The 13,608-nt window shown below is 36.0% G+C and overlaps 1 long non-coding RNA gene across 1 annotated transcript, besides 1 other annotated feature; it reads right to left on the bottom strand.

Annotated features, from left to right (window-relative positions):
- Positions 434-935: an enhancer, noted in NCBI's record as "NANOG hESC enhancer chr2:21794527-21795028 (GRCh37/hg19 assembly coordinates)". NCBI's record gives its function as "activates a minimal SCP1, AML or CMV promoter by ChIP-STARR-seq in primed H9 embryonic stem cells {active_cell/tissue: H9 hESC(primed)}" and the evidence as "EXISTENCE:reporter gene assay evidence [ECO:0000049][PMID:30033119]".
- On the bottom strand, positions 7,356-12,741 carry LOC107984020 (uncharacterized). Its single transcript, XR_001739324.1, has 3 exons — positions 12,646-12,741; positions 11,177-11,297; positions 7,356-7,814 (listed from the first exon to the last, which is right to left on the bottom strand). It is a non-coding gene; the product is annotated as an uncharacterized LOC107984020 (long non-coding RNA).
- Between the last annotated feature and the right edge of the window lie 867 nt (positions 12,742-13,608).

Raw genomic sequence — 13,608 nt, 5'->3', positions numbered from 1 at the left:
GAATAAAATGTACTTATTATTCCTCCTCTGATCAGTTCAAATCTGGAAGGGTTATCAGCAGCTAAACTAGGAGGATGGGAAGAGTTTATGTAACATACACCAAAATTATAACACACCAATAAGTCTGCCACAGCCAAGACTTTCAATGTCAAGAAGTAAAACAGTAAACTGAAATGTAATGGTAACGTAAGATTCGAGCAAGACTTGACTATAATTTCTATTACTCTAGGAACAGAAATTCTACTCACTCATTTATTTATTCATTTAAAAATATTCGTTGAACACCTATAAGTGGCAAGGGAGTGGGATGTACAGCAGGTAAGGTTCCAGCTCTCATTGAACTTACCTTATAATGGGGGAGATATAAAATAAACATGTACACAAATATTTCCTGACAGTTATAAGCACCATGAATGAATTAGAATGTAGGGATAAAATCCCTAGAAGTGGGGGCTACTTTAGATTGGTGGTTGAGGTGGTAAGATTTTTTTTCTTTTATTGTTTTTAATCAAGTCTGAAATTTTCCCAAAAAATAGCACCTGAGAAGACTGACTGTTTACTGTCTTACAGAGCTAGAAATACAACAGCTAATGGAAACAGGCTCTGCAGGCCTTCCTTCCCTGAAATGGAACTCTAAAATGCTTAAAAACAAGGCTAGTTCCAGACTCCTGTTGTTGTGCTGCTTTTTTTGAGAGTTTAATTGCTTTTGAATGCATATGAATGTCAATTAGAGCCAGGCTAAATATGTCTTCTTGGAGACAGAGCATTTGGTCTTTCTTTCAAGTTCTTTTGTTTGCTTGAATTAGCTTTGTAGTTTAACAGATGTTTTTGGAGGAAATGGAGACATAAGCTTTTATAATACTGAAAATTAAATGAGAAACAATACTGTTCTCTTCACCTTCCCCAAAAACATGCAACGCTACGAAACTGGCAACCCACCTTACACTGCAGAAAGTCTTCACATATAGAGGGCACATGTTGTTAAAATCAAAGATATTTTTTGTGCACCTGTAGTTCATTAAATATTGTTCATTCTTTGGGGAGTTACATAATTGAATGTATAAGTGATTATCCCTTTAGCCTTGGGAAAGGATAGTGTTTTCTAGATGCATTAAAAAAAAGTCCTCCCTTTAATTAAAACTAAAGTAAAACTACTTTAAGAAAACAAATACCACAATCTTCTGCACCAAACATGCCCCTCCAGCCTTCTCCTGTTCCACTACACAATCAAACTACTTATTCAAGCTGAAGAAACCTACACACACACTCAACATGTTACTGCCACCTTTCCTGGTATGACGATTTTCCTTTAACTGGACCCCACTCTCCTCTCAAAATTAACATTACTTGTGTGCTGTCCTTGCTTCTACATTATTGTCATATTCTTACTGGAAGATAATAGTAACAGCTTTAGAATCAAGCCTATGCTAATTCTAACTCTATAACTTAGTACCTATGTAATCTTGGACCAGTTGATTAACTTTCCTCAACCTTAGTTCTCTACTCTGTAAAATGGGGATGATCTCCATAGTAGTATTTCATGACTCTTACGTGATATAATATGTAAGTGCCTGGTATGTGATATTCGTTATTCTCTTGAAAATGGAGATCATGGCCTTCCAGTATCTTGTCCAATATGTAAAGTTCTTGGAAGTCATAACTCCTATCCTCACAATAAGGAAAAAGCAGAACAAAGTGAAACTCAGCAACCGTTCTTAGATATATCAGAGAACTTAGGTCATGGGGAAAATTGCTGCTGTCAAAACTGGAGAGACAGACAAGCAAATACGGAGAAGCACAGCTTACTTGCAGCAGAGCCCAGGAGCAGATGCCCAGAGCTGACGCTGGTATTGGTGGAAACACTTTAAACTGTAAATGATGAGTTGCTGGAGGCTTGGTGTGGATTAGCATAGAAGTTAAAAGCTCAGGTAGGGCTCATTCTTAGGGTCTCATTGGAGTTTTACCCTTAGGAACCCTACCAGATTCTCACAGTGAAATTGGAGAAAAATCCCCTCGTACATCCAGCAGGAAGAGGAGATGGTAAATATTTTAAAATTTATGGAGCAAGTTTTGTTCTCTTTAACAAGTCTTGCACTCAAGGAAATTATTTAACCAGAATCATTTAGAATTTTACCAGAGCCTAACCTAGCATGACCTAGGTGAAGGAAATACCCAACTACAGCCCCATCTAGCCTTTGACATGGAGAAGGGAAACCCAATTCAGGCTCACTAAAAGACTGTGGCCTAATCTTAGGACTGTAGAATGCTACCCCTTCTATACAATGATAGAGGATTACAACTAAAAGAACTGCATGCCTCAGATTCTATTTAAGGGGGAGTCTCTAGGGGTACCCAAAGACAACACGGGAGACAAAAACAAAGACACTAGAAAAAAAATTAGCTTTTGATGTCACAGCTAAAGCGAATAGTAAACATAACCTAACCTCTAGCCAGACAAACATAAAGCCTCACATAAAAGGCCTATCTTTATTCAGTGTCTTTTATTCAGTGTTTCATGTCCAGCTTTCAACAAAAAATAACATGGTAAAAGACAAAACTTATAGTCTGTGGAGACAGAACGAGCAACAGAACCAGACTCAGATGTGTCAAAACTGCTGGGATTATTGAACTGGGAATTGAAAACAACTATGATTAATATACTAGTGGTTCTAATAGAAAAGGCGGGCAACATGGAAGAACAGATGCATGATGTAAGCAGAGACATGGAAACTTTAAGAAAGAGTGATACATAATTAAAAGGAAATGCTAGAAATTAAAAACACTTTAACAGAAATGAAGCATGTCTTTGAAGGGCTCATCAGGAGACTGGACAAAGTCAAAGAAAAAAAATTGTTGAGCTTGAAGATATGGTAATAGAAACTTCTCAAACTGAAATACAAAGACAGAAAAAAAAAAGAATAAAAAATTCAGAATAAGATATATGTAACCCGAGGGACAGTTACAAAATATGTAACATACATGCAATGTGAATATCAGAAAGAAAATAGAGAAAGGGATAGTAAATATATTTGAAGTAATAATGACTGAGAATTTTTCAAAATTAATGACAGACACCAAACCACAGATTCAGGAAACTCAACAGAACTCACAGAACTCAGAGAACACCTAGCAGTATAAATTCTAAATGAAAATCTATACCTAGACATAGTATATTCCAATTACAGAAAATCAAAGATAACAAAAAAATCTTAAAAGAAGCTGGGGGGTAGGGGAGAGCTGAGGCTAAACATCTTACCTGTAGAAGAATAAGGATAAGAATTACTTAGAAATTTTCTTCAGAAGCCAGGCAAGAAGAAAGTGAAGTGAAATATTTAAGGTGTTGAAATAAAAAATACACCAACATAGAATTCTGTATTCAGTAAAATGATCCTTCAAAAGTAAGGAGAAATAGCTTTTCTTGAACAAAAATTGAGGAAATTTGCCATCAGTACATCAGTTTTGCAAGAAATGTTAAAAGGAAGTTCTTCAGAAAAGAAGAAAAATTTTATAAGTCAGAAACTCATATCTACATTGAAAAAAAGGAAGAGCATTAGAGAAGGAATAAACTAAGGTAAATAAAGCATTTTTTAAATGTTTAATTGGTTTAACCAAATCGGTTTAAAATAATAATAGCAACAATGTACTTGATGATTATAGCTTATGGTTAATTGAAATGACCAGAGCAATGTTACAAGAAGTGGGAGGCAGAAATAGGGAATATTCTGCCTATTTATAGGTTATAAGGTACTTGCACTATCCACAAAGCAAAATAATGTTATTTGAAAGTAAACTTGGAAACTAGAGGCCATTTTCTCTACCCTCCTATTGTCTATAGGTGATTCACTGAGGAACACTTTAAAGCCAAAATGAAATATAACAGTTCTCATAACTCTTATAACTAGAAAGTCCTGTAACTAAGCTCACTGGTTTCAGGTATACTTTGATACTTGGTTTAAATTCAGATTTAGGACTAAGTTCCTCTGTGTCTTAGACAGGCTTTGCTCTTCTCCTTAAGTTTCATTTTCAGACAGAAATCTTATCTTTTGTGGGAAATGGCTGCAGCATCCTCAGACTATGTCTTCACTGCCTCAAGTCTAGCAGAAAGGAGAGAATGACCTACTGCACAACAAAGATTCAGTGTGATTCAACAGGGTTAAGTCACATTTACATAGTGCAATACATCCCATATGCAGGGGAACACTATGCGTGGACTGTGTTACTTCATATGCTCCATGATTAGGTCTAGGAGTTTTGTGAATTTCACCAGAGCACATGTGTTGAGCATAGAGGAAAAGGTGTTTCTGCAGGGCAATTTTTCAAACAATGGGGCATATAATTAGTGAATCATGAAATCAATTTAGTGAGTTGCAACCAAACACATTTTTCATTTTGTTTTTGTGTTTGTTTCTACTTTTAGTAGAAAGAATACAAGGGAATGGCATAGAGGAGAAAAATGTGAAGAGAAAAGAGGAAAACTATTAGAGGATCTCACAGGTAATGAAGATAAATATTACTTCATAAAATCTGTGTTTTGTAGGATACAGTGTTTACTAGGTTGCAGTGTTAAACACATTCTTTTTATAGGTTTCTTTAAAAATTTTTAAAAACCATCGTCCTAGTGGAAAATTAAATGTGATTATCAAAAGAGATATGGAGGCTAGACAATCAAAAATGCATGAAAATATACTACATCAGGTGAGACTATTTAATAGGTACTGAGCTGATATTTGGTGAATAATTTTTAGAATTTATATTTTGATTGATATGCCTCTTGTCATTGCATAGAGTTTAATCACATCCTCTAGAAGGAGACAGTTAATACTTCCACAAATTAGAATTTCTGAAGGAATTGTCATTCTCCTTGAGCTAAGTGTTGAAATGGTTCAAGGTCTCAAGTGTCCTGGGCTGAGGCTTGCATAACGAGGTATTCCACAGCCAGGTGGCTACAAATGTAGAGATGAGTAGAAGGGGGCAGAAGATGATGAATTCAGTACCATATGTCTCTGACATCATCTCTCTCGCAGGATTACCTATCCTCCTTCCTCTAGTAAATGACTGTCCGTGTTTATCTAAGCCGGTCACTGACCTTTGGGTTCACACACTCCATCTATTTTCATAATAAATGTCCGTAGAATAAAAGTTGATTCAAAAGCAGAAGAATTTACTGGGTTGGCAGGGACAAGAAAGATTAAGGAAGAGAGAAACGAAGAAATGAAGGAAAGAAGGAAGAAAAGGGCAGAGCATTTTGTAAAGTTTTCCAGATCATACATACTCAGAATAGCAAAAGGAACCTTGAAAGAAATTTATTTGACAACATTAAGCACGCAGCTGGAATTTTCACATTACATGAAGGAGGCACACAGCCCAAAACAAAAAGCAGAAAAGCCAACATTGGCCACGGTAGCCTTGTAAAATGGAGCAACAATATAGCTATAGAGAAAAATAAATCCAATGACAAAACTTTTTTTTTTTTTTTTTTTTTTTTTTACTTTAAGTCCTGGGACACATGTGCAAATTGTGCAGGTTTGTTACATAGGTACAAATGTGCCATGGTGGTTTGCTGCACCTATCAAATCATCATCTGGGTTTTAAGCATTAGATATTTGTCCTAATGCTCTCCCTCCCCTTGTCCCCCACCCCCTGACAGGCCCTGGTGTGTGATGTTCCCCTCCCTGTGTCCATGTCCTCTCATTGTTCAACTTCCACCTATGAGTAAGAACATGCGGTGTTTGGTTTTCTGTTCCTGTACAACACATCTTCTAACTCTAGAGTCACTAGTGAGTATTGAATATCATTTTCTCTTTTTCTTTCTTTTTTCTCTTTTTCTTTCTTTCTCTCTCTTTCTTTTCCTCTTCCTTTCTTTCCTTTTGTCTCTTTTTTTTTGGTGGAAGGTGCCAGAAATAGCAATATCAATCTTAAATATATATTATAGAAAATGAGTAGCATTGTAGAACCATGTTATTAAAGATCATTCCCTGGCACTCCTTCCTCTTAGCAGAGAATATTTGAAATCCTGGCATAATTAATAATTCTGTGGCTAAATAGGTGAAAACTTTCAACCCTTTTCCCTCCTTTTATCAGCTTCATCTACATTATTAGCCTCTGTGTTCAGACAGTACTTAATATTATTTCATTTGATCCTATAAAGTGATAGCATTTCAGAGCTGGAAAGGATTTTAGAAAACACCATCAGACCCCTGCATTTTATAAATAAGAAAACTAGAGCCCTGAGCAGTTAATCAACTTGATCAGTAACACAAAATAATTAATATTAGAGCAAGAACCAGAATTGGTTGTGAACCAATGGCTAACTTGTTGAAAAAGGCCATGTAGGTGTCAATGTTCATGGAGTGGTTTGATTTCTCCAAAGAGAAGACACCAAAACATGACTTGACATTGGTCCAGTGGCCAGCAATGGTCCAGTAGCAGCAAAAAGGTACAAAAGGGCCACAAACCAATTACAATGAGAGTATTTTGAATCAGTGTTTTGATCAATGTGTGAAATCTCACAACAATTGTTCAGAAAATTGTAAGTGTAGCTTTTGTTAAGACTGAAATGCCTATCAGTAATTCAGAAGTTTGTCTTCCAGTGAAGAAAGAAACCTGCTCATTTACCTGGTACCAAACAACTTTCTTCACTGCCTAAATGCACTTAGTTTAGAGGCCCAATAAATAAAATGATTATTCTCAAGCATTAAATTTTAAAACAAAGCCATGAAAATTGCACACTATATTCAATTTAGAGAATGTCATGTTTATATAGCACCATTAGTATTTTACCTTTCATCATGAAACATATACTAGAAAGTTACCTTGTCTGATTTATGATTTTAAGATTTATGATGTTAAACTTCTGAGTACCTGGTTTGGCATCCGAAATAAAGCGTATTCAGTAGTTAGTAAAGAGGCATAATTCTGCATTATTAAAACCGGTTCTTGCCCTTTTGGGGGGGTTAGAGCTATTCCGAGAGCAGAGCTAGAGAGAGAAAGACATACCAATTCCAAACATACTAAGCAAATCTCCACAATTTTATAAAATGAGCCCCATAAATTTTATAAAAGGGACATCACCAGATGAAAATGGCAAAGGCTAACCAGAAAGCTGAATATATACAGCCAGATTAATTTGTTAAGAAGCAATTACTGTCTTTGGAAAAGGAAGCAGGCATCAAAAATTCAAATAATTGCCACTGAAAGTATTCTCTTTTTCTTTCAATTTTTTCTTCTTTTCAAGTTGGAAACCCAATATTATTAAATATTTAGGGATGACATTTCTTCTAGACATTCAAGAAACCACATTTTATGAACACAATGAAAAAGAATAATTCTTAGAAATATAAATAGATGGTCATTTTTTGTCTCTGTCGGTGGTGTAAAAATTATTCAAGACACAATTACTTTTTGTTGAGTGTCTCTCTCATATGTGGGAAGTCTTTCAAACACTAAATACACATTTAAACTCTCTCACAGGGCACGATAAGCTTCCTCCAAAAAACGCAGTCATCATTATTCCATCATCTTACCTCAGTAAGGCCTTGTAGAAACGCATAATGATATGATCCCTTTTTCATTGGTTGTTTATGATTTGGAAACTCTGGTATAATCCAGACTTGGAGAGATATTTGGTTTTGTTTTTCTTTGAGGAACGGATTCAGCACATTCCATTGGCCTCATTATAACACTTTTGCCTTTCATCCCAGAGTCTGTGTTTTGCTCCAACTAATATGATATAGGTACGTGGATTCTCCATAGACATCCAATCTTCCTTGAGAGCTCACCAAGTGTCTCCTATGTGGCAGCTCCAGTCTGGGCATCTTGAAGGCAACACATAAATATAAGACATCACGTTGGCTCTTGTGTTGTATAAAGTGTAACCCAAAAATGCACTAAGTATGCTATTCATATGGAAAATCTTTTTCAGTGTCTATTGGGCCCTGCAAGTAGTTAATGTTATAAACATTTAAAACAAAGAGACTCAAATACATAAAGAGAGGATGGGAGCAGGAAAGAGAGATCTAAGATTCACCTTTAATGTTAGAAGTGCTATCTCTCTCTTCTGTATTCTTAAAGGACTTACTGAATGTGCCTGCATATAGTTCCCATATACTCCTTCCCCTAACACATGTACATGTACACTCCCAGGCACATATTGGAGGCTTTTATTGAATATTATAGATATAAATGTAACTACTAAGTCAAATAAATGCTAAGAGCTCGGAGTTCTGTTTCTTTGGTATTTCAGACCATACCAACTCCTGAATTTAGACAGCTCAAACACAGATAGGATTAGGTGATTTTCATAGACTGAGATCTAAACAAACATTTTTTGATATAACAAATATTTGTTATTGAACTCCTACATATGTGAAACACATCACATATAAAGTATTCCCCCTTATTCAGAGACCCTACTCAAAGAGAAAACCGGTAACTCCAACATGAGGTGCCATGATGGTGGTATGAAGAGAGTGTAATTGGAGAACAGAAGAGGGTCACTTAGTCCAGTATGGTGAGACAATAGGATGAGAAAGATAAAGCTCTCTAGAGAGTGGGAAGGATAGGGGACCCCAGAGAGAAGGAACAGCATCAGCAAAATCATACTTGCTAAATGAGGAAGTAAAGCAATGAATGAATGAATGAATGAATGAATGAATGAATGAACAGGATTTGGAAGGGAAAGAATTATCTGTAAAAGGAGCATCATTTGAGAACAGATAGTACAATGACAAGTATCACCAGATTAGAAATCTTAGGAGGAGGAGTTTTGGGAAAAAATGCAGATAAGTTGATTGGGGCAAAATATCTAGAGTTCTGGCTCTCTGATTAGAAGCATGTTTCTAAAATAGTACCACTTCTCCTTCTTATTTCTTAAAATTTCTATGAATTTTTATTTTATTTTTTCAAAAAAATTTCTTTTTAAATTGGCACATAATTATGTATATTTATAAGGGTACATAATGCTGTTTCAATACATATATTGTATGGTGATCAGGGTAATTAGCATTTCATAATCTCAAACATTTATCATTCCTTTATATTGGGAATATTCTATATTCTCTCTTCTAGCTATTTGGAAATATGTGTTATTGTTAACGGCAGTTATCCCACAGTGCTATAGAACACTAGAACTTACTCCTTTTATGTAGCTATAATTTCGTATCTTTTAACAAATCTCTCCCTAGCCTCACCTTCCCCCTACCCCTCCCAGACTCAAGTAACCCATTCTACTCTTTACTTCTATGACATCAATTTTTTAGTTTCCCCATATAAGTGAAAACATGCAGTATTTATCTTTCTGTTCCTGACTTATATTACTTAACACAAAGTCCTCCTGGCTCATCCATGTTGCCATGAATTACAGGATTTCATTCTTCTTTGGGCTGAATATATTCCATTGCGCATATATATCACATTTTCTTTATTCATTCATCTGTTGCTAGACACTTGGCTGGTTTCTGTATCATGACTGTTGTGAATAGTGCTGCAATATGCATGGGCGTGCAGATATCTCTTCGATACATTTATTTCCTTTCCTTTGGATAAATACCAAATAATGGGATTGCTGGATCATATGACGGCTTTTTCTTATTCTTGACCTATAAAGCCACGGTAATATCAGAACTGGGGAATCTGGAACTAACCAAGCCTTCTCTCTGTCAAGGCCAGTGTTCCTATCGGAGCTCCAATTTTTCCTAGGAGCAGTTCTACCTGCGAGGTGTTTATAATTGTGGTTGAGCACTCAGAAAATGGTTTGGCAGTCCTTGATGAGAGAAATGTCAGCTGCATATGTATGCACACAGATGAAGGCACTCATATGAGTGTTCTTTTTCCCCTTCCTACTCCACACAGATACTAGTTTATTCTAGGGCAACTATGGACCAAAGGATTCTACTTCAGAGCAGAGGATATAAGTGCCAGAAGATCTAGAGAATGTGGCCTAAATCCTAATATTTTATGAGGCCAGGAGTGTGGAGATTCAGATCTGTATTGCAGCCATCAGGGACTTCCAAGAAAACTCTAAATCCCATCTAGCTAGGATTCCATTATAATGAATTAGACCTCCAGGGATAATGTCAATAGCAATTTTCCATGGAAACTACAATGCAGCTGACTGATCAGCATTGCACAGTAGCCAGAGAAGACTATTTGGAGTCTGACTACTTGGGTTTGGATCTTCACTCAGCCTTTTGTCTACTATGATTTTGGGGCATGTTGCCTGATTAATTTGAGCTATGCTATTGATTGGATGAAGGTCACCAATTGCCTGTTAAAAAAACAAGTTCAAAAGACTGTACATCCTCATGCAGTGGTGAGCCTCTAAAGTCTTCCTTCCTCCATCTCTGGCTTCTCTCAAATTGCCCCATCCTTGTTGCTCAGTTTCTTCTCATGCAGTTCTCTACGTCCTTCCCTTGCTCTGTTTTCTCTGCCCACTCTTTAATGTGGGCAGAGAATGTTTGTGTAATCTGGGAGTGTGGCCTTTTTCTCATTTCTTCAGGCTCCCTGGGGAGTCTCATTGTCTTATTTTAAATACTAATTAGGAGAAAGTTATTCCTGAATCTTGAGTTTCAAGCTCAGTCTCTTTTAACTCCAGACTCATATATCTGACACAGAGCAGTGTTGACACTTAGTCCCACTCTTCTTCCAGGCATCACTGGACTAGGTAAGCCATTTGGGGCAAAAGCTCACTGAATGGCACTTGGTTCACATATAACATGTGACATTTGGTTTTATAGTGTACTGAAAGGCAAAAGAGGCATTGAGAAACAAAAACAACAACAACAACAAAAAAAAAACCTGAGAGAGGAACTCAAAAAATATAAGCATCACTGAGGATAATAATGGCAATGGATAGGATTTTAAATGTGTTTAAATTCTTAAAAATATAACATAATATTTATTTTCAAAAACTCACAGGTCATGTTTGAAGGATGGTTAGAAACCTGATTATTACACTGAAAAATTGATATATATAGGGAAAATATCAGGTATCTCCCTTGCCTTTCTTAAAAGAAATATACCTCAGGGCAAATAAGGAATTGATGAAGTTTCTCCTTATAGGTAACATTCTAGCTACTGTATAAAGACGAAATGAGAAAATTGGAATATCACTATAATACATATAATGTAGCATAATGAAATAATGAACCCAGATGTTTGATAATCAATAGTTGCTAACCTCACAAAAAGACAAGCAGACATGATGTGCTTTTAGTGGAAAAAAACAATTCTACCTTGGAAGTGTTCTGGCTCAAAGATCAGAACCTGAATCTGATCAACTATCTAACTCAAACTTCAACCTACAGGAAACAAAAGGAACAGAGAAAATGCAATCAACATCCGCAGTAAATATTAAAAGAAAAATAATCTAGTTTCTTCAACAAATAAATAGCAAGGATAAAAAAAGATATGAAGAGGGACAGACCTAAGAGATATATTCCAAATTCAATGTATGTTCCTTATTTGGAACCTCATTGTACAAACAAAATATAGATAGACATTTGATAACAACTTAACAGAGACTGACTAGAAATTTGGTAATAGCAGGGAATTATTGTTTATTTTATATGTGTGATAATGGTATTCTTTTTAAAATATATATTTTTTAGACATTCATAACTGAAATATTTATGAATGAAATGATCTGGTGTCTCAAATATGTTTTGAAAGAGTCAGGGGTGAGGAAAAATGAGTGAGGTATAGATGAAACAATATTAGCTGTGAATGGTTCATTGTTGAAGCTAGCAATGGATGTATTGAGTTTTATTAAACTATTCTCCCTATTTGTGTATATGTTTGTAATTTTTCATAATAAGACATTTTTCTTATTCTGGGACAATCTGATTGAAGAAAGGTTCTGATACATAAAGAGGCTTGTTATAAAATTACTATTAGAGGAGGAATTAGTAGGATATAAGCATCCCCAACACCAAAGATGGCTGCGGGTAAGTTGGTTCTCTAGGTGCCAAGTCTAGTATGGTTCTCATGGTGCACTATGCTCATTAAGGAGGGAGAAGAGAGATTGCCAAGGAGTAATTGAGAGTTCTCTCAGCTCCTCAAGTCAATCACACTTCATTAAACATTCTTGTAGCATAAGCATTACCTGGAGTACTGATTAAAAATACAAATTCTAGGATCCCAACAAGACCCTCTGGGAAAGGAGCTGAGAAGTTATAGGTTTAACAAGCTCTCCAAGTGATGCTCATCATCAAAGTTTAGGAATCAATCAACACTTAATTTCAATGTATTAATACTATAGGGCCTTCAACTGGAAACACTTTGTAAACAGTTGGAAGTTGGGGACAGTTGGACTAGAATTAGATGAACAAAGAGTGGTATAGGTTTGGGAGTCATTTTCATATATTTCCAAAAGGAATTCAATAAAGGCACTCCCAAAGCGGGAAGGGGAAGATCATTTTTAGTAGCTAAAGGGCACTATTAGCAATTCTGGGTGCCAATCACTCATCCCTCTTGCCCTCCACATCCCAACTGATTGAGAACTGCACACACAACCACATAGGGCTTAACATATCAATTGTTTTGATGACATTGAATAGAAGAATGGAATTTAGACCTGATGCTGAAGTAGGGATTCCTATTTCTTCCCTAATAGAATTGAAATTAATGTACTGCAGGTAAAGGACTCACCTTATATACGTGCCTACTTCTCTGGGCCTTCAAGAGGTTTCCTGGCTTAGTCTTTTTTTCTTTCTTTTCACTGCTGAGAAGAGACAGGTTAAAGCATTGGCCCTTCTAATTGATGAATAAGTTAGGCATCTAGAAAAATAAACAGATTGGGGCCTGTTTCTTGTTTTTCTGTCATCAGGAGTTCACTGGCTGATAGAATAGCCCACTGGATGCTGGGTTCTCCAACCCAGTAAGGAAACAGTAAGTCCGATCAAAACAGTAAGTCCGATCAAAACAGTAAGTCTGGGAAACAGTAAGTCCAATCAAAAGGTCAGAAATAACCCTTCCAACAAGTCCCTTCACCCATAGACCAAGAAGAATTTAGAGGTTAATGTTATTTGCTATTGGCACCATCTGCACGAGCCTCTGGGCTTCTTTCATGCTTAGTCACAATTTCCGTAAAATGATATAACCAGCTCTTAGCATAATGAAGAACAGAAATGAGGTTTCAAGATTCATTTCAGTCACAAATTCTGTTGAAAGAGATCATCAATTAAAAGTTTTGGTAAAAAGTTTTGATTTCCATTTCTTGTTAATTGAGGTATGTTATATCCTCAGAAGATGCCCTGGCACATAGTAAGCCCTGAATAAATACTTGTTGTGGTGGTGGTTGTTGAATTAATTTGTTAAGGGACATAGCATTTGTGACCATGTTTTAGGGGAATGGTTTTATTAAACCTAAGAACTGCGATATTAAAACTATTTTAAAATGCTGAATCTGCCCAGTTGACTGCTGAAAAGATACAAACACAAGTATTGATCCTACATGGTTTTCAACATACTTCATTTTACTAGGGATCAGTAGGAAAAGCCCAGAGTTTGGAATTTAATATTTGTTAATTTAAATCTTAGCCCTGCCATTTATAGTCTATGTTGTCTTAAGCTGGTTAATTGACCTCTTTCTTGTTCATATTCTTCATCTGT

This window comes from Homo sapiens, chromosome 2 (genome assembly GCF_000001405.40).
Source record: "Homo sapiens chromosome 2, GRCh38.p14 Primary Assembly".
NCBI classification, from domain to species: Eukaryota; Metazoa; Chordata; class Mammalia; order Primates; family Hominidae; genus Homo; species Homo sapiens.
Note: the sequence above shows the minus strand (reverse complement) of the source record. Positions and strands in the feature narration are given on the sequence as shown.